This window comes from Homo sapiens, chromosome 16 (genome assembly GCF_000001405.40).
Source record: "Homo sapiens chromosome 16, GRCh38.p14 Primary Assembly".
Taxonomy (NCBI): Eukaryota; Metazoa; Chordata; class Mammalia; order Primates; family Hominidae; genus Homo; species Homo sapiens.
The window spans coordinates 28,273,127-28,296,193 of NC_000016.10; the positions used below are offsets into that span (position 1 = coordinate 28,273,127).

Consider the following 23,067-nt stretch of genomic DNA (forward strand, 5'->3'; position numbering starts at 1 on the left):
TCTCGAACTCATGGCCTCAAGCAGTCCCTTCACTTTGAACTCCCAAAGTGCTGGATTAAAGGTGTGAGCCACCGCACCTGGCCTCTCTTTCAGATTTTTTTTTTTTCTTTTGAGACAGAGTTTCTTTCTTATTGACCAAGCTAGAGTGCAATGGCGCAGTCTCGGCTCACTGCAACTTCCGCCTCCTGGGTTCAAGCAATTCTCCTGCCCCAGGCTCCCAAGTAGCTGAGATTACAGGCGTGAGCCCCCATGCCCAGCTAATTTTTGTATTTTTAGTAGAGATGGGGTTTCACCATTTTGGCCAGGCTGGTCTCAACAAACTCTTGACCTCAGGTGATCCGCCTGCCTCGGCCTCCCAAAGTGCTGGGATTACAGGCATGAGCCACCATGCCCGGCCATAGGTTGTCTTTTCACTGTGTAGATTGTTTCTTTTGCTAAGCAGAAGCTTTTTAGTTTGATGTAGTCCCACTTGTCCATTTCATTTTTTTGTAGAGATGGGGTTATGCCGTGTTACCCAGGCTGGTCTTAAACTCCTGAGCTCAAGCAGTCCACCCACCTTGGCCTCCCACAGTGCTGGGATTCCAGGCGAGAGTCCCTGCGCCCAGCCCCACTTGTCTATTCTTGTTTTTGCTGCCTGTTTTTGGTGTCTTATCTGCACATGAATATTTATAGCAGCTTTATTCATAATTGCCAAAACTTGGAAGAAACCACAATGACAATGTCCTTCTATAGGTACACCCATACAATGGAACATTCAGTGATAAAATGAGCCATCAAGCCACCCAAAAGACACAGAGGAACCTTAAATGTGTATTGCTACGTGAAAGAAGCCAGTCTGAAAAGTACTATCTGACTCCAGTGATATGACATTCTGGAAAAACCAAAACTAAAGAGAATAAAAAGATCAGTGGTTGCCAGGGGGCTGGCGGGAGAGAGGGAGGGATGAAGAGGTACAGCATGGTGGATTTTTAGGGCAGTGAAACTATTCTGTATGATACTGGGAGGGTGGACCTGTAACATACATTTGTCAAAACCCATGGAACTCTACAAAACAAAGAATGAGCCCCGATGATGTAACATATGAACTTTAGTTAGCAACTATGTATCAATCTTGGTTCATCAGTTTTAACAAGTGCACCACGCTGATACAAGATGTTAATGGTAGGAGAAATTTGTTGGGAGGAGAGGAAGTATACTACAAAACTGAAAGTCTCTTGGTCAATTCAAACGCGTTCTGCTCAGGCCAGGTGCGATGGCTCACACATGTAATCCCAGCACTTTGGGATGCCGAGGAAGGCAGAGCACCCGAGGTCTGGAGTCCAAGACCAGCCTGGCCAACATGGTGAAACCCCGTCTCTACTAAAAATACAAAAAAATTAGCCAGGCATGGTGGTGGGTGCCTGTAATCCCAGCTATTCGGGAGGCTGAGGCAGGAGAATCGCTTGAACCCAGGAGGCGGAGGTTGCAGTGAGCCGAGATCGAGCCACTGCACTCCAGCCTGGGTGAGAGAGTGAGACTCTGTCTCAAAAAATAAAAAGAAACACGTTCTGCTCAATTGTTCTGTAAGCCTAAAACTACTCTAAAATATAAAGCCTATTATTGAAAAAAAAAGAAAGGAATCATAGTGTTCCACACAGAGCTGTAAATAACGTTTCCACAATATGTAAACATTTCCAGTCTTACCAATGTTATAATGCAACTGTAATGTGAGGGGGGATAGGATGTGGGAGTGGGTGGGAGAGGGAGTGGTTGGACATAAGGAGCTAAATCCTCTTCTCCCAAAGTGGGAGGTTGGTAAGGAATGCCTAAAACTGGAAAAGAAGCAATGTAAACATGGTATGTAGGAAATGTGGAGGTAAAAATGACTAATCACGAGCTAAAAGAGTTGAGATGGTTGTCCTTATGAAGTGGGAAAAGGGGCCGGGCGTGGTGGCTCACGCTGTAACCCCAGCACTTTGGGAGGCCGAGGCAGGAGGATCTCTAGAGGGCTGAAGTTCGAAACCAGCCTGGGCAATATAGTGAGACCCTCCCCCATCTCTACAAAAAATTACAAATTAGCCAGTCACTGGGGCTTGTGCCTGTGGTCCCAGCTACACAGGAGGCTGAGGCGGGAGGATTGCTACAGTGAGCCGTGATCACACCAATGCACACCAGCCTGGGTGACAGAGCGAGACTCCATCTCTTAAAAAATAAGTGAGAAATGGGGGTGAGGCTGCCCCTGTGCGTTGATTCTAAACAATGGGCATATCTAACTTGAATACAAATTAAAAGTATATTTTCTATATGTATATAAGAAGAGAAGAAATAATAAGAACAAACAAAAGAGACTGGGAAGTTGCAGAGCAGAGAGAAGGAAGCCAGTTCCATCAAGAAGCTTTGTTCGGGGGCCCAGAAATGGCTCAAGACGTGGGTCAGGAGGAGACGCCAGAGCCTTGGTGCCCACAAGAAAGTCCTGGAAAAAGAATGAGGGGGTCCCGGTGCAGTGGCTCATGTCTGTAATTCCAGCACTTTGAGAGGCCAAGGCAGGTGGATCGTTTGAGCCCAGGAGTTCAAGACCAGCCTTGGCAACATGACGAAACCCTGAGTCTACAAAAAATAAGAAAATTAGCCAACCATGGTGCATACCTGTAGTAACAGCTACTCAGGAGGCTGAGGTGGGAGGATCGCTTAAGTCCAGGAGTTAGAGGCTGCAGTGAGCTATCACTGCACCACTGCACTCCAGCACTCTGGCCTGGGTGACAGAGGAAGACCCTGTCTCAAAAAAAAGGAAGGAAGGAAGGAAGGAACGAAGGAAGGAAGGAAAGGGTAAAGAAAAAGAAAAAGAAAGAATGAGGAGGACGGAGTGGGGAAGAAGGGAACCTCTGAAGAAACTGGGTCCCTGTAGCCCCTCAGGGGAAGGGCCCTTCTGCCACTGAAGCGGATGGAAGAAGTGGAGGAGGAGGGAGGCTGGAGGAGGGGTTGTGGTTTGATGGCGGAGGCAGTGGAAATGTATCTCATCCATCTGTTTTCTCAGCAAAGTGGGAGCCACGGTTTGTTTGAGGAGAGAGGAGGAGGTGGGAAGTCATCCCAGACCTTGCTACAGAGTGGGCTCCACGGACAGCAACGTCAGCACCCCTGGGGGCTGGCGGGATGGAATGCGGAATCTCGGGCCTCACCAAGACCCCTAGGAGACTCACAGGCGAATTACAGTTTCAGAAGCTGCTCAGAAAGGGCAGGAAAAAGCAACTGGGAGGCATAGTGAGGGCGGAGGTTGGGGGCACTCTGCTGAGTGCCTCTCCAAGACCCGCGCCCCTGAATGAGACGGGGCACTGGCAGCTGCGGGGTGACCCTCCCAGGCAGTGTTGGCTTGCTTGGTGCAGGCAGAGAGCGGATGCCTGGCTAGCGCTGTGCCAGGTTGGTCCTATAGCAGGACAGGTGGGCATGGGAGTGGGCGTGTTTTCCAGGAGGCCATCGTGGTGGTGGCAGAAGGGGGTTGCTGGGTAGTGAGAAAGTGCTGCAGGTGGTGGATTGAAGTTTTTATTTTATTTATTTATTTATGTATTTATTTATTTATTTAGGGGCGGAGTCTCACTCTGTTGCTCAGGCTGGAGTGCAGTGGTGCGATCTTGGCTCACTGCAACCTCCGCCTCCCGGGTTCAAGTGATTTTCCTGCCTCAGCCTCCCAAGTAGCTGGGACTACAGGCGCCCGCCACCACGCCCGGCTAATTTTTTGTATTTTTAGTAGAGACAAGGTTTCACCGTGTTAGCCAGGATGGTCTTGATCTCCTGACCTCATGATCTGCCTGCCTCGGCCTCCCAAAGTGCTGGGATTACAGGCGTGAGCCACAGCTCCCGGGCGGTGGATTGAAGCTGATGCCTGCAGGTACCAGGGCAAGCGATGAAGAGGATAGAAGGGCAGAGCAGAGGGGGGAGTGCCTGAAATAGAGAACTCAGAGCAGGTGAGGTGTGGGGTCGTTACGCAGGCTGGGGTGTGGGCCTGGGAGCGGTGGCCAAGGGGCTTGCAGAGGAGAGGGTCGAAGGGGACGGGAGGAGGTCAGGGAGCTGAGAGGCTGCTGGAGGCTGCTGAGAACTCCTCTGTTCTCTGAGGTTTGTACCCCACAAACTTAAAGATGGTGAGAGAGGAAACGGATTCATTTGCTCTGGGGTGTGGCTGCGTGGGGACTTTTGAAAGCTCCCCGGAGTTTGAGAACCACGGTGTAAACATAGAGACAGAGAGAGAGAGAGAGAAAAAAAAAAGACAACAGGGGAGTAACAAGAAGGCACTCTAAGGTGGGGAATGGTGGCTCACGCCTGTAATCCCAGTGCTTTGGGAGGCCCAGGCAGGAAGATCACTTGAGACCAGGAGTTTGAGACCAGCCTGAGCAATACAGTGAGACCCCCGTCTCCACAAAAAATTAAATTAGCCGAGCATGGTAGTGCTCGTCTGTAGTCCTGAGGCAAGAGGATCGCATGAGCCCAGGAGGTGGAAGCTGCAGTGAGCCATGATCACACCTCTGCACTCCAGCCTGGGCGACAGTGAGACCCTTTCTCCAAAATACAAATTTTAAAAGGTACTCTGGGGCTGGCACAGACCGGGGACCTCGAGTGGACCAGCTGGGGAGGGGATTCATGTCCTGGGTTGTGGGCGATCAGAAGATGGAAATGTCGTGGTCTTGCCCTCGAGAACCAGATAGAACAGAGACAGAGACAGAGCGCGCGCCGCGGTCCCTCAGATCGTCCTGCACTACGGCGAAACGGCCACTAGAGGGCGTGTTGTGCTCACATATGCGGACCGGCCGGCAAGCGGCGGATTCCGCGGACAAAGTCTCTTGTTTAGCCACAGAACCCTGGGCTTGGCCCCAGGCCCGCTACGTCCGGGCCGTGTGGCCTCAGCCAGGTTACACAAAAGCTCTGTGACCCTGTTTGGTCAGCCATAAAATGGGCACAGCTATAAGTCCGACCTTCTAAGGTGGTGTGAGGATGCCCGAGGCCACGCAGGCAGAGCAGCGTCCAGTGGGGAACGAATGGCCCCGCGAGAAGGGGAGGCTTCGCCATGGCCTCCGTCTCTCTCCGCTTCTCCTGCAGCTCCTCCGCCCAGCCCTCCCCAGGCCACATCCGGTCCCGGGAGAGAGACTGAGATCGACTTTGGGGCAGGGGAGAGCAGGGGGAGGTAGGCAGTGTCTAGGACAGGGAAAGAGAGGAGGCAGCCACCTCCCTCACCCCACCCCACCTCACCCACCCCGCCTTTGTTTTAGAGGCAGGATCCTGCTCTGTCACCCAGGCTGGAGTGCAGTGTCCTGATCCTGGCTCACTGCATCCTCAGCCTCCCAGGCTCAAGCGATCCTCCTGCCTCAGTCTTCTGAGTAGCTGGGACTACAGGCAGGTGTCACCACGCCTGAGAAATTTTTAATTATTATTTTATTTTATTCTATTCTATTTTATTTATTTATTTATCTTATTTTGAGACAGAGTCTTACTCCATCACCCAGGCTGAGTTCAATGGCGCGATCTCAGCCCCAGTTTGAAATTCTTAATAATTTCATCTTTGAATTTGTAAGGGGAGTCTGATGGGCCGGTGGGGCATGTGCCCAGGCCTTGGAGCCCCTGCCTCATACCAGGCATGATCACACTCCGACCACCTCCCATAGGCAGGTTCTCAGCCAACTACTCACCCCGACAACAGTCACCACTGCTGCCGTTTGTCCCCAGCCAGGGGCCTGGGTGAGGGCAGGATCGGTGTCAGGTGTACAGCGACGTGGTCCAGGCACCTGTGAGGTCTGCACTTGCCCCATCAACCTCCCTGTGCCCAAAGGAGCATGACATTAGAAAGGAAAAAAGGGCCAGCCGTGGTGGCTCATGCCTGTAATCTCAGCACTTTGGGAGGCCAAGGCGGGTGGATCACTTGAGGTCAGGAGTTCAAGACTAGCCTGACCAACATGGTCAAACCCGCTCTCTACCAGATGTGGTGGTGTGCACCTGTAATCCCAGCTATGCGGGAGGCTGAGGCAGGAGAATCACTTGAACCCAAGAGGCGGAGGTTGCAGAGCCCCAAGATGGCACCATTGCACTTCAGCCTGCTGGGTGACACAGCGAGACTCTGTCAAAAAAAAAAAAAAAAGGAAAGGAAATAAAAAACACCATCACACAGCTGGGCGCTATGGCTCATGCCTGTGGTCCCAGCACTTTGGGAGTCTGAGGTGGGAGGATCACTTGAGCCCCAAAGTTCGAGGCTGCAGTGAGGTATGATTGCACCACTGCACTCCAGCCTGGGACAACAGAGCAAGATCTGGTCTCTAAAAAACAAAACCAAAAAAAAAAAAAAAAAAAAACCACCATCACAGGCTGGGAGAAAGAGACTGAGGGAGAAAGGAAGAAGCTTTTGTTTCTGCTCTCAGAAATAAGAGGCCCCACGTTTAAATTTCTCTGGGTCCCGCATTCTGTCACGGGCACAGGTTCAACTACTTTCACCTCGAAAACTGTCAGTGCTCCATCATGGGAGCCGTGGTTATTTAGTATCCTATGGTTAGAGAGAAACAGGACAAGCAAGACAAAGCCCAGGGGCCCCAGGGACAGCTGGTGGCCTTCGAGGTGACTGGTGCCAGGCCTGGAGACCACATTCCCCTGCCCTCCCCAGGATCCTGAGTCCAGGGTCGGCACTGAGGGCAGCAGGCTGGGGATGAGCCCCTTCCTCCCCGGACCTCAGTTGTCCCACTGTGCATGGGGAGGCGGCCGGCTTCCAGCAGGGACAGCGGGTGAGGACGTCTTTGTAAACTGAAGCACGGGGGGACATGTGGGCAACAGCGATGGTTCTTCACCTGCCAGAGATTGCCATGGTTGCTCTGAAGGGTCCCAGAGTCAGGGGCTCAATTGCTAGGTTTATTTATTTATTTATTTTGAGCAGAGTCTTGCTCTATTGACCACGCTGGAATACAGTGGCACAAACATAGCTCACTGAAACCTCAAACTCCTGGCTCAATCTGGCCACCATGCCTCCCTAATTTGAAAAAAACTATATATATATATATATATATATATATATATATATGTGTGTGTGTGTGTGTGTGTGTATGTATATATACATATATATGTACATATATGTATATATACGTATACGCATATACATATATACATATATACGTATATATCTGTATATATACGTATATATGTACATACATATGTATACATATATATGCACATATATGTATATAATATATATATACGTACATATGTATATATATATATAAAATATATATATATATATTTGTTTGTTTCAGAGATGGGATCTCACTATGTTGCCCAGCCTGGTCTTGAACTCCTGGCCTCAGGCAGTCTTCCTGCCTTGGCCTCTCAAAATGCTGGAATTACAGGCATGAGCCACCACGCCCAGCCCAGGACTCAATTTCTACCCCCATTCCTTGAAATGTTCAAAGAGGGTCCAGCTTTAACCCCCTAAGGATGGCTGACAAGGGATGGGGCCTCAGTGGTGACTTCAGTCCCAGGTGTGGATATCCTCTATGGCCCTACTGTGAGACCCTGACAGTAACTTCATTTATTTTATTTTATTTTATTTTATTTCTGAGACAGGGTCTCACTCTGTCACACAGGCTGGAGTGCAGTGGCATAATCTTGGCTCACTGCAACCTCCGCCTCCCGGATTCAAGCGATTCTCCTGGCTCAGCCTCCTGAGTAACTGGGATTATAGGCGCATGCCACCACACCCAGCTAATTTTTGTATTTTTGGTAGAGATGGTGTTTTGCCATGTTGGCCAGACTGGTCTCGAACTCCTGACCTCAGGTGATCCACCTGCCTCAGCCTCCCAAAGTGCTGGGATTACAGGCATGAGCCGCCCACGCCTGGCTCCTGACAACAAGTTCAAACCAGACTCTGGGGGTAGCTACAGGTCTTGGTAGTGATCTCAGTGGCCTTAGACCCAGTGGCGACCTTGGTGACCTCAGACCTTGGTGGTGTCCTCAGACAGACCCTGGTAACAGCAGGGAGGCACCTGGCATCTCATTCCCCTCCTTCCATCCTGGCTGAGCCTCCATCTCTCCCCAGCCACTAGGATTTGAGCCATCCCCCTGGATCCACTTAATTAGCTGAGCTCATTAACTCCCACAAGACTTCTCCTCCCCTCCTAATTAACTGACTTAATTAGGGCTTGCAGGCCCAGCTCCTCCCAGCCCCCTCCTGCTCCACCCCAGCCTGCCTCCTCCGGGCCAGCTCAGCCAAGCCTCCCTCAGCCTGGGATTGGAGCCAGGTGTGAATTGGGCCCCTCCAGCACCCAGGCCTCCACCCTGTGTCCCTCCCCGAGTCCCGGGACACCAGGACAGTGCCCCTCCCAGGCAGCAACCCAGAGTCAGGATGGAAATGGGGACGGGAGGTGGATGGAGAGAGGGATGGAATCGGGATAAAATGGAATCGGGTGGGAGGAAGAGGTAAGGCTGGCAGCTGATGGACAGGCTGGGTGGCAGGGTGGTTAGGGCCTGGACTCAGGAGCCTGCGTGGGTTCAAGTCCCAGCTAGGGTGCGCACTTCAGCAAAAGCCTCAGCCTGTCTGTGTCCCTGACAGATGATGATAGCGTCCACACCCTTGGGGTGGTAGCGAGGTTTAAATGAGCTCATTTGTGTAAAAGGCTTAGAACTCAGCCTGGCACAAATCTGTGCTTGTTAAATAAGTGGGTGGGCATGAACAGAGGCCCCCTGAGGGCGAGAAGCTGGAGAAGGGGAGGGAACAGCCAGGTGGGTGTCCCAGGCAGGCTCTGGGGGGTGGCACAAATGGACCGGGCTGGGAAGAGCCATGGCCTGGGAGAGGTTAAAGGGGTAAAAAGTGGGCTGGAAGGATTCAGGCCTAGGTATCCTGTTCCTCCTCTGAGGGTGGAAGAAGCTGACCTTGTTGGTTCATTACCTAGGTCCTCTGTGCCTCAGCTTCCCCATCTGGGGGAAGACCCTAGCCTTGTGAAAGTACCTGGCATATCCCAGATGCCTAATCAAAATCTAGACTCATCCCTGAGATGGGAGGTGACCCAAAAACTATTTGGAGGGAGGGGCTTAGTGAAAGTGACCTACACCTCCCCTGGGACCCAAGCGAGGAAAGTGTGCTGTGCAGGCAGCAAGCTGGATGCAGGTTAGACATCAGGTGGGACTTACCGGAGTTGAGGAGTGCAAGATCTCGGCTGCAGAAAGGAGGAAGAGGTGTCTGAGCTGCCGGGTGGGCTCTGGGGAGAGATGAGTGGGCATTCGCACGGAGGGGAAGGGGAGAAGGAGCCTGAGCACCAGCTGGCTCTCAGCTCACTCAGCTCCCGTCACCCCTCAGATCTCAGGGCGGCCATGCCTTCCTCCGGGAAGCCCCCGAACTTTGTGTCTCCTCTGTACCCCGGTCTCAGTAGGAATTTTACATTTGTTGGCATGATTAGTGCAGTGTCTCCCTCACTAGTCTGGGAGCTCCTGAAGGCACAGACTGTGATTTTTAGCCAGCCCTTTTATCCCAGAGTCTTCACATTTTGGGGGCCTGGGAACAAGTGTGAATGAATGAATGAATGAATGGAGTGCCTTGGCCCAGAGGTTCCTGGAGCTTGGAGGGAAAGGGGCCCCATATGGCAGCCCAGGCAGCTGTGAACCCACCAAGCCCCTCACATGGCTCCAAGAATAACCATTCTTCGAGGGCAGGGGCTAAACTCCAAGGACCCAAACCCCTGCTTGGGGTAGGCTGAGCTTCCTCAGAATCCCCAGCATACCCTGGGGTGCTGAGGAAATATAGTGACTGTATGGGACAGAGGAGACGGTGTTTAATTACTCTCGCATTTTTATTTATTTATTTATTTATTTGTTTGTTTGTTTGTTTGTTTAGAGACGGAGTCTCGCTCCATTGCCAGGCTGGAGTGCAGTGGCGTGATCTCGGCTCACTGCAAACTCTGCCTCCCGGGTTCAAGCGATTCTCCTGCCTCAGCCTCCCGAGTAGCTGAGATTACAGGTGTGCACCACCACACCCTGCTAATTTTTGTATTTTTAGTAGAGACGGGGTTTCACCATGTTGGCCAGGATGGTCTTGATCTCTAGACCTCGTGATCCACCCACCTCGGCCTCCCAAAATGCTGGGATTACAAGTATGAGCCACCGCGCCCGACCATACTCCCACATTTTTAAACCCTTTATTTCTGGGGGGTTGTATGTGACAGAGACCAAAGTCCAACTGACTTAAGCACAAAAAGGACTTGAGTGGGTCATGTAACTGAAAAGTTCGGAGTTTCAGGCATAGCTGGATCAAGGGGATCAAACGATGACAAGGATTCTCTCTTTACCTCTCTTGGCTCTGCCGTCTGCTGTGTTGGCCTCCTCCTCTGAGGGGTTCTTCCTGCTTGCGGCAACTCCAGGCTTACATCCTACTGCTTTTCAGCGCCATAGAAAGACAGCTTCTATCCTACCAGCCTGGCTCAGGGAACAGACCAATCTCAGAAACAATTGCTAAGGCCATGGGGGTGTTATACACTGATCAGTGGGGGCTGGGTCACAAGTCCTCCCCTACAGTCGAACAAGTGAACCCCACCATTGGAACCCCTAATGGGTAGGGAAGGATGTATCAGGGAATGTGGGTACCCAGAGGAAACGGGGGTTCTGTTACCAGGTAGAGGACAGAGGCTGTGTAACAGAGGAATATGTGGGCATCATGCCAGACCCAGCTGGTCACTGTTCTAAGTGCTAGAAATTGGTGGCAGACATGTCATTTCCCCACCCCTTCCCCACTCCGACCTGCCAGCATCCTCATCTCTTTTTCCCAGGGTCTTCTCTGGCCTCAGCCTGCTCTGCTGGCATCCAGAGTGCTGCCTCCCCTCCTCCCCACTGCCCCAGCAGCTCTCCCCGGTGACTGACAGGCAGAGTATCAATACCCCAGCTCCTTTGCCTTTGGATGCAGTAACCCTGAGCAGCGTGTTGTACGCTGTCTCTGTGAGCTCCTCAGTGGGGTTCACCTCCCATTGCCCACGGTGGTGACTGAGTTGGTAACACGACGCTTGTCGCTGTCTTCCTGTCTCACCCACCGACCCACCACTCCACTACCTGGGATCACCTACCAAACAAACTACTTGCTTTAGAATCCTTGTCTCAGGGTCAGTTTCTGGGAAACCCAAACTAGGACATCATTAAAGCCAGCCCCCTAGGGATGTGTTCCAGACAGCACTTGTTTCCTGCCAAATGTCTCCGATTCCTGGGGCTGGTTTTGCTGACCCATGCCTGTGGAGGAGCTGGGATGGAGCCAGCTCGGAGAATCCTGCCTCCTTCTGGGAAGTCCAGGGGATGCCCCCTGCTCCCCCAGCACACACCCCCATGGGCATGGGCGGGGTCAGGACCCATCAGATCCTTGTTGCATAGCTTCCAGGGGCAATGGCCTCGTCCCAGTCCTAAGGAGCCCAGCACCCAGAGCCATCGTGAGCAGGAGGTCAGGGTGGCGGGGCCCAGGGAGCCAAACTTGCTACCTAATCCTAGTGCTTCTCAGAGTGTGAGAGAGGAGGGCATTTCCAGTTGTTCTCAGACCAGGCTTTAGAAAACAGAAATAATCAGGCCGGGCGCAGTGGCTCATGCCTGTAATCCCAGGACTTTGGGAGGCCATGGCGAGTGGATCACTTGAGGTCAGGAGTTCGAGAAAACAGAATCACATAGTGAAAAACTTCTTTCTTTTTCCTTCTTCTTTTTCTCCTCCTCCTTCTTTTTAAGATCCCATTTTAAAACACTTCCATGGAATAGTTTTTACTTATTTTGGAAACAGTGAAAGAATTTACACAAAACTGTAAACTGTGCACACACCTACAGCTATAATAGAAACAGTGTCAACATTTTATCACATTTATGTCAGAGTTTTTCTTTTCTGAGATAGGGTCTCACTCTGTTGCCCAGGCTGGAGTGCAGTGCCATGATCACAGCTCACTGCAGCCTTGACTTTGTGGGCCCCAGCAATCCTTCTGCCTCAGCCTACTGAGTAGCTGGAACTACAGGTGTGTGCCACCACATCTGGCTATTTGTCGTAGAGGCGGAGGTCTTACCATGTTGCCCATGCTGATCTGGAATTCCTGGCCTCAAGTGATTCTCCCTCCTCAGTCTCCCAAAGTGCTGGGATTACAGGTGTGAGCCACAGCACCTGGCTCGTGTGTCAGATATTTTTAATTTTAAAAAAGATAGGGCCGGGCTTGGTAGCTCACGCCTGTGATCCCAGCACTTTGGGAGGCCAAGGCAGGCAGATCATGAAGTCAGGAGTTCAAGACCAGCTTGGCCAGCATGGTGAAACCTCGTCTCTACTAAAAACACAAAAAATTAGCCAGGCACGGTGGCGTGCGCCTGTAATCCCAGCTACTCGGGAGGCTGAGGCAGGAGAATCACTTGAACCCAGGAGGCAGAGATTGCAGTGAGCCGAGATTACACCACTGCACTCCGGCCTGGGTGACAGAATGAGACTCCGTCTCAAAATAAAAAGACAAAGGATAACAGATAAAGATGAATTCCTATTATACTCCCCGCACCAGTCCTATTTCCTTGGTGCCGTCCCGAGGGGCAACCACTCTCATGATTTTAGGGCTATTCTTCTCATCACTTTTATTTTTTGTAGAGACAGGATCCCACTATGTTGCCCAGGCTGGTATCGAACTCCTGGGCTCAAGCAGATGCTCCTGTCTCAGCCTCCCAAAGTGTTGGCGCGAGCCGCCACATGCAGACCTGCAGCTGTTCTTCTTGTACGGGGTTGGCACACTTTCAGCTGCAAAAAAGCCAGAATTCCCAACTCAAAGTGGCTCCAAGTTCAAGCGGCTCAGCAGCTCCGTGATGTCACAAAGAAGCAGGTTCTTTCCCTGGGCACCGTCACACTGTGTTTCCCCTCATCAGTGGCTTCCTGCTGGCCATGGTCACAGAGTTGTATTTCGGCAGTGGAGAGCTCATCAGTACTTGTGCTGGGGCACTGTTTCTCACTGCAGAATGTACACTCCAAAAAGGGATGGAGAGATTCCAGGATCCATCACCCACTCCAGTGCTGCACGTCCCGGGCACCTGTGCCATCTTCCATCCGATCCATCTTGGGTTCTGTTGGACCTCTTGGTTTTCCTATCAGCAATAACTTGGCCTGTGTCTTCCAGTGGTCCCAGGGAGGAGGTTCTCCACTACAAAAGACCATTGTGCCTGGCACAGTGGCTCACACTTGTAGTCCCAGCTACTCAGGATGCTGAGGCGGGAGGATCTCTTGAGCCCAGGAGTTCAGAACCAACCTGGGCAATAGAGCGAGACCCCTTCTGAAAAAATAAAAAAATCACAGGCCAGGCACAGTGGCTCACGCCTGTAATCCCAGCACTTTGGGAGGCCAAGGCTGGTGGATCACCTGAGGTCAGGAGTTCGAGACCAGCCTGGCCAACATGGTGAAACCCCATCTCTACTAAAAATATGAAAATTAGCCAGGCATGCTGGCACGCCCCTTTAATCCCAGCTACTTGGGAGGCTGAGGCAGAGGAATCACTTGAACCCAAGAGATGGAGGTTGCCAAGATCACGCCACTGTACTCCAGCCTGGGCGACAAGGTGAGACTCCATCTCAACAACAACATCAACAAATCATAAATGTGGACCAACAAGCCAGGAATGCCTTCTCTCTGTCATGACTGGAGACACAAGGAATCAAGAGCATCACAGGACATGCTGGGGAAATCCCCAAATGCCATCAGTTTCCCAAAGCCTGGAGTCTATCAGTATGGCCAACTGAACACAGTGGCTCATGCCTGTAATCCCAGCACTTTGGGAGGCCAAGGCAGGCAGATCACCTGAGGTCAGGATGGCCAACATGGTACAACCCTGTCGCTACTAAAAATACAAAAATTGCTGGGCGTGGTGGCAGGAGCCTGTAGTACCAGCTACCCGGGAGGCTGAGGCAGGAGAATTGCTTGAAGCCGAGAGGTGGAGGTTGCAGTGAGCCGAGATCGCATCATTGCATTCCAGCCTGGGGGAGAAGAGCAAGACTACATCTCAAGAAATAAATAAATAAATAAAACTAAATAAATAAATAAAAATTAAATTAAAAAAAGAAAAGAGACTGGACTAGGTAGCTCACGCCTGTCATCCCAGCACTTTGGGAGGCCGAGGTGGGCAGATCACCCAAAGTCAGGAGTTTGAGACCAGCCTGACCAATATGGTGAAACCCCATCTCTACTAAAAATACAAAAAAAAAAAAATTAGCTGGGCATGGTGGCACGTGCCTGTAATCCCAGCCACTTGGGAGGCTGAGGCAAGAGAACTGCTCGAACCTGGGAGGCGGAGGCTGCAGTGAGCCGAGATTGTGCCATTGCTCTCCAGCCTGGGTGACAGAGCAAGACTCCATCTCAAAAAAAAAAAAAAAAGAAGAAAGAAGGAAAATAAAATCATGGCTAAGTTTTTTCTTTGTGTTCCGCTATCCAAATTATACCCATCAAGACCCTCTCTGGAGAGGTGGCACCTTTGAGCTGGCAAGAGTGGCTTATCCCTAGGCGTCAGGGACAAAGGACTGCACCATTGCAGGCTGCTACTTCTTTTTTTGTTTTTGTTTGTTTGTTTTTGGTTTTGTTTGCTTTGTTTTGAAAGACAGAGTTTCACTCCGTTGCTCAGACTGGAGCGCAATGGCACAATCTTGGCTCATGGCAACCTCTGCCTCTCCAGTTCAAGTGATTCTTGGGCCTCAGCTTCCCGAGTAGCTGAGACTACAGGTGCGTGCCACCATGCCCAGCTAATTTTTGTATTTTTAGTAGAGATGGGGTTTCGCCATGTTGGCCCAGGCTGGTCTTGAACTCCCAAACTCAGGTGATCTGCCCACCTTGGCCTCCCAAAGTCACCACTTCTGTGCCTCTCTTCAGATGTGTTGTGTTGGTTCCATCCTCTGAGAAGCAGGCAAGGTGGGCCAGATGTGCAAATGATTTATTGAGGAAAACCCTTGGGAGGGACCAAGAAGGAGGGAGGAAGAGGAAGCTGGGAAGATCATCAGACTGTACTAGATCTAACACGTGGAAAAGAGAGACAGAAGGAAGGATGATGGGAGAGGAAGAGTCTTCAACTGCAGTGCAGTGAGAAAGTTTTTACAAAGTCAAGGGGGAGTCCTTGATCCAAAGCTGCCTGTTCGAGGAGTCCTGTGTCTCCACGAACAGACGCGCCTTAGTTCTTTGGCTGGGATCAGCTCGTGGGAAGCAAACCAGAGCCTTCCTGTGTGAACCACAGATGGGTTTCACAGCTGCTGCCCTTGGTCAATGACTTTTCCTGAAGTCAGAGGTCTGAATGGCACATTTTCAGGGCCGTCACCTTCCATCCCTTGCACTACTCAGCTCTACCATGGATCCTGTGAGCCTCTCTTTCTATGGGAAAACTTTGAAGAGGGAGATTAGTGGAACATGCTAGAGCCCCCGCCTCCTTGCTGCAGTTATCGAGAGGCCATAACCAGCGCTTGTTCTTTCTTTCTTCACTATCCATTCTAAATTATCCACACTCTCCACCGTCGCCTTGGCAGGCCTTGGTGGGTTACCTGGTGATGTGACCCGACCCTTCAGTCCTGAGGGACCTAAATTATTGGTTATTGTAACCCATGGATCACTGGATTCCCATATATTCCTCCTTGTCCTCCCACTGTAAAAGCAGCCCTGCCCTCTCTGCTGACCAGGGTCAGTTAGTGCAGCCATGCTGGTGCCCTCTCTTCTCACCTGCTGGTCCCAGAACACATGGAGTCCAAAGTTTCCCAGCCCCGGCCACAGCTTAAATTTAATGGGACCCATGCTGTGTCCCCTGGCTAGAGCATACCCTCTTTGGGGACCAGGACTTCCCTCCCTGTAGAACTGAGAGGGAGTCGGGAGGGGGACTTAATTACCCACAATGCATGCCAGCAAACCTTTACTAACTGCACTATGGGTAATCAAAGCCCCAGATAAGGAATCAGGGAAGGTTTCCGCAGAAGGTGGCCTTGAACTGGGCAACCCTTGATTAACTGTGGCTAGGGGCACTGCAAAGCTTGATTTGACTCCTCCCCTCTCTAGGTCTGTTTCTTCCTCTGCAAAAAGAGGAAAGTGCTCTCTAAGTGCTAACATTCTGAGACTCAGCTTTTAGACACAGAATGTTTTCTTCCTGCTTTCTCCCTCTCCAGCCCCCTCTTCTGCACACCCAATAACTCAAATCCCTCTATTAGTTTATTTACGGCACTAAGGCCTTGGAGAGGATTAGAACAAAGTTAGAATGAAATCCGAAACTCCTCTACATTGGCAGGACAAGGAGTGTGGGAGAGGAAGGGAAGACACAGAGTTCTTAGAAGAGAACTTGTTTGGAAAACAAGGAGGAAGGGAAAGGTGTTCCAGACAGAGGAAACCGAGTAGACAAAGGCGTGGAGGTATCAAAAGCAGATGTCAGGCCGGGTGAGGTGGTTCACACCTGTAATCCCAGCACTTTGGGAGGCTGAGGTGGACAGCTCACCTGAGGTCGGGAGTTCAAGACCAGCCTGGCCAACAATGGCAAAACCTCATCTCTACTAAAAATACAAAAATTAGCCAGGCGTGGTGGTACACACCTGTAATCCCAACTACTTGGGAGGCTGAGGCAGGAGAATCACTTGAACCCGGGAGACGGAGGCTGCAGTGAGCCAAGATTGTGCCATTGCACTCCAGCCTGGGCAATAAGAGTGAAACTCCATCTCAGAAAAAAAAAAAAAACAAAAACAAACAGATGTCAGGGCTGGGCGTGGTGGCTCACACTCGCAATCCCAGCGCTTTGGGAGGCTGAGGTGGATGGAAGGCTTAAGCTCAGGAGTTCAAGACCAGCCTGGGCAACATGGCAAAACCCCATCTCTACAAAAAATACAAAAATTAGCTGAGCCTGGTGGTGCACACCTGTAGTCCTAGTTACTTAGGGGGCTGAGGTGGGAGGATCACTTGATCCCAGGAGGTTGAGGCTGTAGTGAGCCATGATTGCACCACTACACTCCAACCTTGGTGACAAAGTGAGACCCTGTCTCAAAAAAAAAAAAAAAAGACAGAGGCAGATGTCCTAGAATAGCGTGGCTGAGGTCAAGGCCGAATGGAGAAGAGAGGTCCTTTGTAGGGGAATGGAGAGCAGGCTCTAAATGTTAAGGGCTTTGAATGCCAGGATAAGTAAGGTTAGACTTTACCCTGATGGTACACAGGAAGTCCTTGGCAGTTTTATGTAAGACAGCAACCCAACCCCATTTGTATTTTACAGACCTGATGATCCCAAAGGATTTGGATTCTAGAAAAAAGACAATCACCAGGCACGGTGGCTCATGCCTGTAATCCTAGCACTTTGGGAGGCTGAGGTGGGTGGATCACTTGAAGTCAGGAGTTTGAGACCAGCCTGGCCAACATGATGAAACCCCGTCTGTAGTAAAAATACAAAAATTAGCCAGGCATAGTGGCACACGCCTGTAATCCCAGCTACTCAGGAGGCTGAGCCAGGAGAATCACTTGAACCCCGCAGGCAGAGGTTGCGGTGAGGCAAGATCGTGCCATTGCACTCCAGGCTGGGCAGCAGAGCAAGACTCTGTCAAAAAAAGAAGGAAGGTAGGAAGGCAGGAAGGAAGGAAAGAAGAAAGGAAGGAAGGAAGGGCGGGGAGAGAAAAAGAAAGAAAGGAGAAGAGAAGAGAAGAAAAGAAAAGAGAAAAAAGACAATCTAGACAGAGGCAGGAGGCCGACAAGTTAAGAACTGAAACAATATTCTCAATGGTAGAGGTTGCCAACCTATGGTCTGGGGGCCAGATTTGTCTGCAAAGTGTGTTTCATTTGGCCCATTCAATATTTCCGAATTTTGGGAATTCGTTTCAAACATTTAAAAGTTGGAAGATTTCTGGATGTCCTGCTTCTCTTTGAATATCATCCAGCCACGCACAGCCCACGATGTCTCCAGTTCCCCTCTTCTCCACCCTCTCTATCACTTTACATGCGACCCCAGTCGCTCATGTCTGCGCCTGTAGGTACTTGCGTTTGCAATCCCTGGCTCCTAAAGCTCTGGAAACAGTCGGGAGTGGCTGGGAGGATTACGCTGGGTTGAGAAAACAGCCTGATCAAAAACTTAGAAGAAATAGGGGCAGTCATAAAAAATGATGAGTTCATGTCCTTTGTAGGGACATGGATGAAGCTGGAAACCATCATTCTCAGCAAACTATCGCAAGGACAAAAAACCAAACACCGCATGTTCTCACTCATAGGTGGGAATTGAACAAAGAGAACACATGGACACAGGAAGGGGAACATCACACACCAGGGACTGTTGTGGGGTGGGGGGAAGGGGGAGGGATAGCATTAGGAGATATACCTAATGCTAAATGACGAGTTAATGGGTGCAGCACACCAACATGGCACACGTATACATACGTAACAAACCTGCATGTTGTGCATATGTACCCTAAAACTTAAAGTATAATAATAATTAAAAAAAAGAATGAAAAAGAAATGCTTTTGAAGCTTGAAGCTAAAAAAACAAAAAAAAAAGAAAGAAATAGGGAAGGCGTCCTATTGGGGCTTTCTCACTAGGGAAAGAGTGAGCTGCAGGGAGGAGAAAGAACAGGGCCTGGAAGGACGAGCTGTCCCTATCTCATCTCTGTCCCCATCCACCCACTTCATCCAGGCCACCAATTTCCGGTTATCAAACAGACAATGCAACATCCCTTACACCTGCTGTACCTCTGCCTAGAATCTCCTTTCTTCCCTTCTATCCGGCGAGCAGTTCCTCCCAGCTGCACTCCTGGACTAGTCACTGCCTATTTGCAGCAGGGATCGCAAAGGCGACCTCAGTTGGATAGGGCAACCACCCAGGCCCAAGTTTATGACCTCTTCCCCAAGAAGACTGTGAGTTCTCTGACGTCTCGCTGGAAATAGGATGCATGGATGGATGGATGGATGGATGGACGGACGGATGGATGGATGGATGGAAGCGCAGGCAGGCAGGCGGACGCATGGATGAATGAAATGCATATCCGAATGCAGAACCTGGATTTGTTTTCCCTCCTTCAAACACACACAGGCTCCGCCCCACTAGCACAGACCGGGACAGTCTGGGGCAGTCTCGTCCCGCAGGGCCCAGAAAGCTGGACCAGGTGACCCTCTCAGACTCCCCCGAGTCCTCTGTAACCTCGTTCTCGCCCCCTCGTGGGCTCTGACCTAGAAAAGGAGTGGGGTGGGTGGGGGGTGGGGGGTGGGAGCCAGCTCGGGAGCCACCGGCGCTAGGACCCAGCGCGGCCGGAAGGGGGTGGGGGCGCCGCGCGGGGAGAATCTGCGCTCCGCGGCGCGCGGCGGGAGGGCGGGCGCGCGGCGGGTGAGCGCGCTTGCGCGAGGGCGCGCGCCGAGCGGGACGGACAAAGGGGCGGGCGGCGGCGCGCGAGCCGGAGGGCGGAGCCGCGGGCCGGGCGGGCAGGTGCGCGCTGGCTGGAGGGCGGAGCCGCGATGCCGCGATGGAGCGCAGCCCGGGCGGGCGCCGGGGCCGGGGCCCGAGCGCCAGGCGGAGCGCGAGCTGGAGCCGCAGCCGGAGCCCGGGCCAGGCCGGGGGCCGGGAGCGCAGGGCCGGGCTGCTCGTAGCGGCGGCGACCGAGCCCCCCAGCGGCTGAGGGGCTTCCAGCGCCCGCCGGTGGCCGGGACCCACTAAAGCCCCCGCAGCCGAGGAGTGCGGGGAGCCCCCTTCCACATCCAGGATCCGGCGAGCCTCGGGGAAGAGGGGGGGCCCTCCCGGATCCGACACCGAGCGACTCCCCTGCGGGGAAAGCGGAGACTTCCTCGGTATTTAGAAGACAGCAAGCCCCCTACGGCACCGCAAGGACTCCCCCTCCTCAGTCTGGGCCCCCGCCCCAAGACCTAGAACGCAGTGCCCCCAGGCCGGGATTGCGAGAACCCCCTCCCAAGATCCGGTCATTACAACTCCACACCTCAAGACAAGAAGACCCAGCTCAGAACGCCCCTAGATCAGGGGATCCCAATTCCCCCCAACTCCGGTACATAGAAATCCCAAATCTAGGCAGCCGGGGACAGCAAGAGACACTCTCACCAGCAAGAAGCCTCGGGGATCCCCCCCCTAAAGCTCCAGGACTTGGGCGACTGAGCCCCTGGCGGCACCGCTTGCACCCCGGTCCATGGTCGTGGCGCCCTGAGCCCCCGGGGCCGGGCAGACGAAGACCGCGACGGCGCCCAGGCCCCCTGCCGCGGCGTCCCCGCGGCCCCAGCCCAGGTAAGCCGGGCCCAGGTGAGGGGCGGCAGGTGAGTGGCCACCGAGGTCCCCATAGCCCTGCAGGTGGGGAAGGAAGTATCGGGTTGCGCGCTCCCCCTTCCCCAGCGTCGCCATGGAGCCGAGGCTGAAGGACGTCTCTTTGTGTCTCGCTTGGAGGAGCCGCCCCCTCCTCCTCTCCCTTCCCCCACCCCACTCCCTAGCCTTGAGGCTCGGGCGCAGCTCCCCGGCCCCACGGAGGAGTGGTGGTGGAGCCCGTTGTGCCATGGAGAGGGGGGAAGAGGGCGGAGAGTCCCCCCCCAAAAGCTGCGAGCCTGGAGGTTGGCCCCCAGGTCCTTGGAGTGTGAATACCCCTCCCCCACGGCCAAGCTGAGCTTCTAGTGAAGTCCCCCCGAGAGGGGAAAATTTGGGGGTGCCCACAGGTGAGGGGGGCTGCCTTATGTGGCCCTGGGTGATGGCTGGGGCTTCGGGTGTGTGTCTTTGTCTGTGAGAGTGCGGGGAAGGGGTGTGTTTGAGCGGATGAATGGGAATCGCATCTTCCCTGTGACTCTGCTGCCCGACCCAGGCCACACTGGCGGTCTTTACCTAAACCATACTTTGTACTCCCTGTGGGACAGGGAGGGAGTAAGTACCCCCCAAAGTGAGGCGCTAGTTTCTGGGGAGGAGAGGTAGCCTAGATGAAGAAGCTATTTCAGGTCAGGGCACCGTTCTGTTCCCATTTGTCCCAGGGACAGCAACCCAAGTCTTTCCCTTCCCCTCCTAACCTGGAGAACACCCAGGTTAAACCAAGGGTTGGCTCAATGTGTCCCAGACAACCAAGGGCCAATTCCAGGGTCTCACTGTGGCTTTCCAGGTGGTACACACGGCCGTACCCCAGCCTGGCCCTCAGTGAGGTCCTGAACCCCAGGCTCTACCGCATATGAGGAAGCCGAGAGACCCTAGGGGACATTGTACCCTGAAATCCTGAATCAGATCCTGAGAAGGGGCTGGACTGCATGGAAAGAACACACTCTGGGCTGCTGGGAGTTCCTCTCATCTCTTCTCTCTGAGCCTTCTGCAGACAAGCAGTGATGCTGGACCCATTTGATAGGTGCACAAACTGAGGCTCGGGAAGGCAGGACCCAGGATACAGCTAGCCCTGCCAGTAGCTCCTTCACTTATTCATTCAACAAACCTGTCGCCAATGTCTGTGATGGACCATGCGCTAGAGTCAGGGTCCTTTTCCCCACTTCATTCCTATCTCCTTTCTTGATGTCTCCTGATCATCAGACCCCTGGGCACGTCCCATTGGGCCTGTTGAAGTGGACCGGGCCAGGTCCAGCTGAGAGATTCTTGACCCTACACCTGAAGCAGCTGATCCCTGTCCTGCTACAGCCTTGGGAGCCCTGAGCCTGGGTGGCTGACTCCTCATCTCCCACCTTCCCAGCACCAAGTGCCCCCACCCCCACCTGCTGCTGGCACTGACCCAAGGGTGAGGATGTGACCAGCTGGAGACGAGGGTAGGGGGCACTTGATGCGGGCAGACCTCTGGCAGCCTCTCCTGCCAATTTCAGGACAGTTGAGGCAGCCACCTTCAGCACAGGCTGTGGGGGAATCAGGTGCCCTGAAGACTGAGTGACCTTGGGCAAGCACGTGGCCCTTCCCAGAGAAAATGACAGAGAGTGAGCCTCTCTGCAGCTTGAAGGGCGGATGGAGATCGAAATTGGGCAGGACAAGCATCCAGGTTTGCTCTACCCATTGCTGAAGGAGTTCATTTCCCCCCAGTGGGGGTTCCCAGAAGCCCAGGGCTTTGTCACACACCCCACAGGCAAGGCAGTGGAACCAGAGGCTGAAGAGCAGAAATTTGAGTCACTGTGTCCAGGGCAAACTGTGAGGAGGCCAGAGGAGGACAAGGAGCAAGACCTCCCCTCCTCACTAACCTGCAGTGGCTCTCCATTGAGTCCAGAATCAAGTCGCTGAGTCCAGATAGTCTCTGGACTGCAGCCTGGCCCTAAACCACCTCTCCTAGCCCATCTCCTCCGTGTCCTCTAATTCTCTGCCTCCGTCACGTGCTCTTCCCCTGACCTGAAAAGCCCCACTCTAGGATGGCTCCGGAGCCGTTTTCTGCCTCCACCTCCCTTTTTGAGCTGACCTGAGCTGGCACGTAGTAGAGAGCTGAATTTGATTGGTTGGTGGTTTGGTGGCTTGGAGGTAGTGGCGTGTGTCTACATGTGCAGTGAGAGTTTGTCTCCACATCTAGACTCAGCTCCAGGAGACGGGAACCAGGTTTGTCTTGTCCATACTGCATCAGCATTGTCTAATTCAGAGCCCAGCGTATGGTAGGGCACGTGCTGTAAAATACAGCCTATAGACGATTTTTGTTGGTCCAATGTATTTTACATGTTTGTCTTTGTTGTGAGTGCTTAAAAAAAGTCGGGGGGAGGCAATTTCACATACAAAAGCTGATTTTTGGATCTTCTTGAAAAATCAGATGATGTGGCAACCTCAGGCCACAGCGGGAGAATGACCACCTTCTTTAGACAGGGCCCTTGCCTTCCAGTCCACCCCCAGGCAGCCGTTCGCTCCCTTAGGTCACCTCCTGGCCCCCGATGCTGGCATCTGGGTTTGCAGGCCCAGAAAAATCTTTTTTTTTTTTTTTTTTTTTTGAGACAGAGTTTCACTCTTGTTGCCCGGGCTGGAGTGTAATGGCGAGATCTCGGCTCACTACAACCTCCAGCCCCTGGGTTCAAGTGATTCTCCTGACTCAGTCTCCTGAGTAGCTGAGATTACAGATGCCCACCACCACATCCAGCTAATTTTTTTTTTTTTTTTTTTTTAGACAGAGTCTCGCTCTGTTGCCCAGGCTGAAGTGTCGTGGCACAATCTCGGCTCGCTGCGACCTCCACCTCCCGGGTTC

At 52.6% G+C, this 23,067-nt stretch overlaps 1 protein-coding gene and 1 long non-coding RNA gene across 3 annotated transcripts in view, besides 3 other annotated features; one reads left to right on the forward strand and one right to left on the reverse strand.

The window, feature by feature from the left end:
- SBK1 (SH3 domain binding kinase 1) overlaps window positions 1–23,067 on the forward strand; it is a 65,169-nt gene that overhangs the window by 14,446 nt on the left and 27,656 nt on the right. Inside the window, exon 1 of one of the 2 annotated variants that reach the window (NM_001024401.3) lies at window positions 19,399–20,174. The exons of the other annotated variant lie outside the window; for it this stretch is intronic. The gene's annotated coding sequence lies outside the window, so the exon portion shown is untranslated. Of the gene's footprint in view, window positions 1–19,398; window positions 20,175–23,067 lie in introns of those variants that run through there. 2 annotated transcript variants of the gene reach the window in all.
- Window positions 4,562–4,856: a silencer, noted in NCBI's record as "tiled region #11993; HepG2 Repressive DNase unmatched - State 4:PromP". NCBI's record gives its function as "represses a minimal TATA promoter and a strong SV40 promoter by Sharpr-MPRA in HepG2 cells {active_cell/tissue: HepG2}" and the evidence as "EXISTENCE:reporter gene assay evidence [ECO:0000049][PMID:27701403]".
- LOC124903670 (uncharacterized) lies at window positions 11,703–18,939 on the reverse strand. Its single transcript, XR_007065033.1, has 2 exons — window positions 18,641–18,939; window positions 11,703–13,941 (listed from the first exon to the last, which is right to left on the reverse strand). It is a non-coding gene; the product is annotated as an uncharacterized LOC124903670 (long non-coding RNA).
- Window positions 18,891–19,062: a silencer, noted in NCBI's record as "fragment chr16:28303338-28303509 (GRCh37/hg19 assembly coordinates)". NCBI's record gives its function as "represses an EF-1alpha promoter that drives an FKBP-Casp9 reporter gene in an ReSE screen in phorbol 12-myristate 13-acetate-treated (for megakaryocytic differentiation) K562 erythroleukemia cells {active_cell/tissue: K562(+PMA)}" and the evidence as "EXISTENCE:reporter gene assay evidence [ECO:0000049][PMID:32094911]".
- Window positions 19,270–19,499: a silencer, noted in NCBI's record as "silent region_7307". NCBI's record gives its function as "represses an Ori minimal core promoter by ATAC-STARR-seq in GM12878 lymphoblastoid cells {active_cell/tissue: GM12878}" and the evidence as "EXISTENCE:reporter gene assay evidence [ECO:0000049][PMID:35858748]".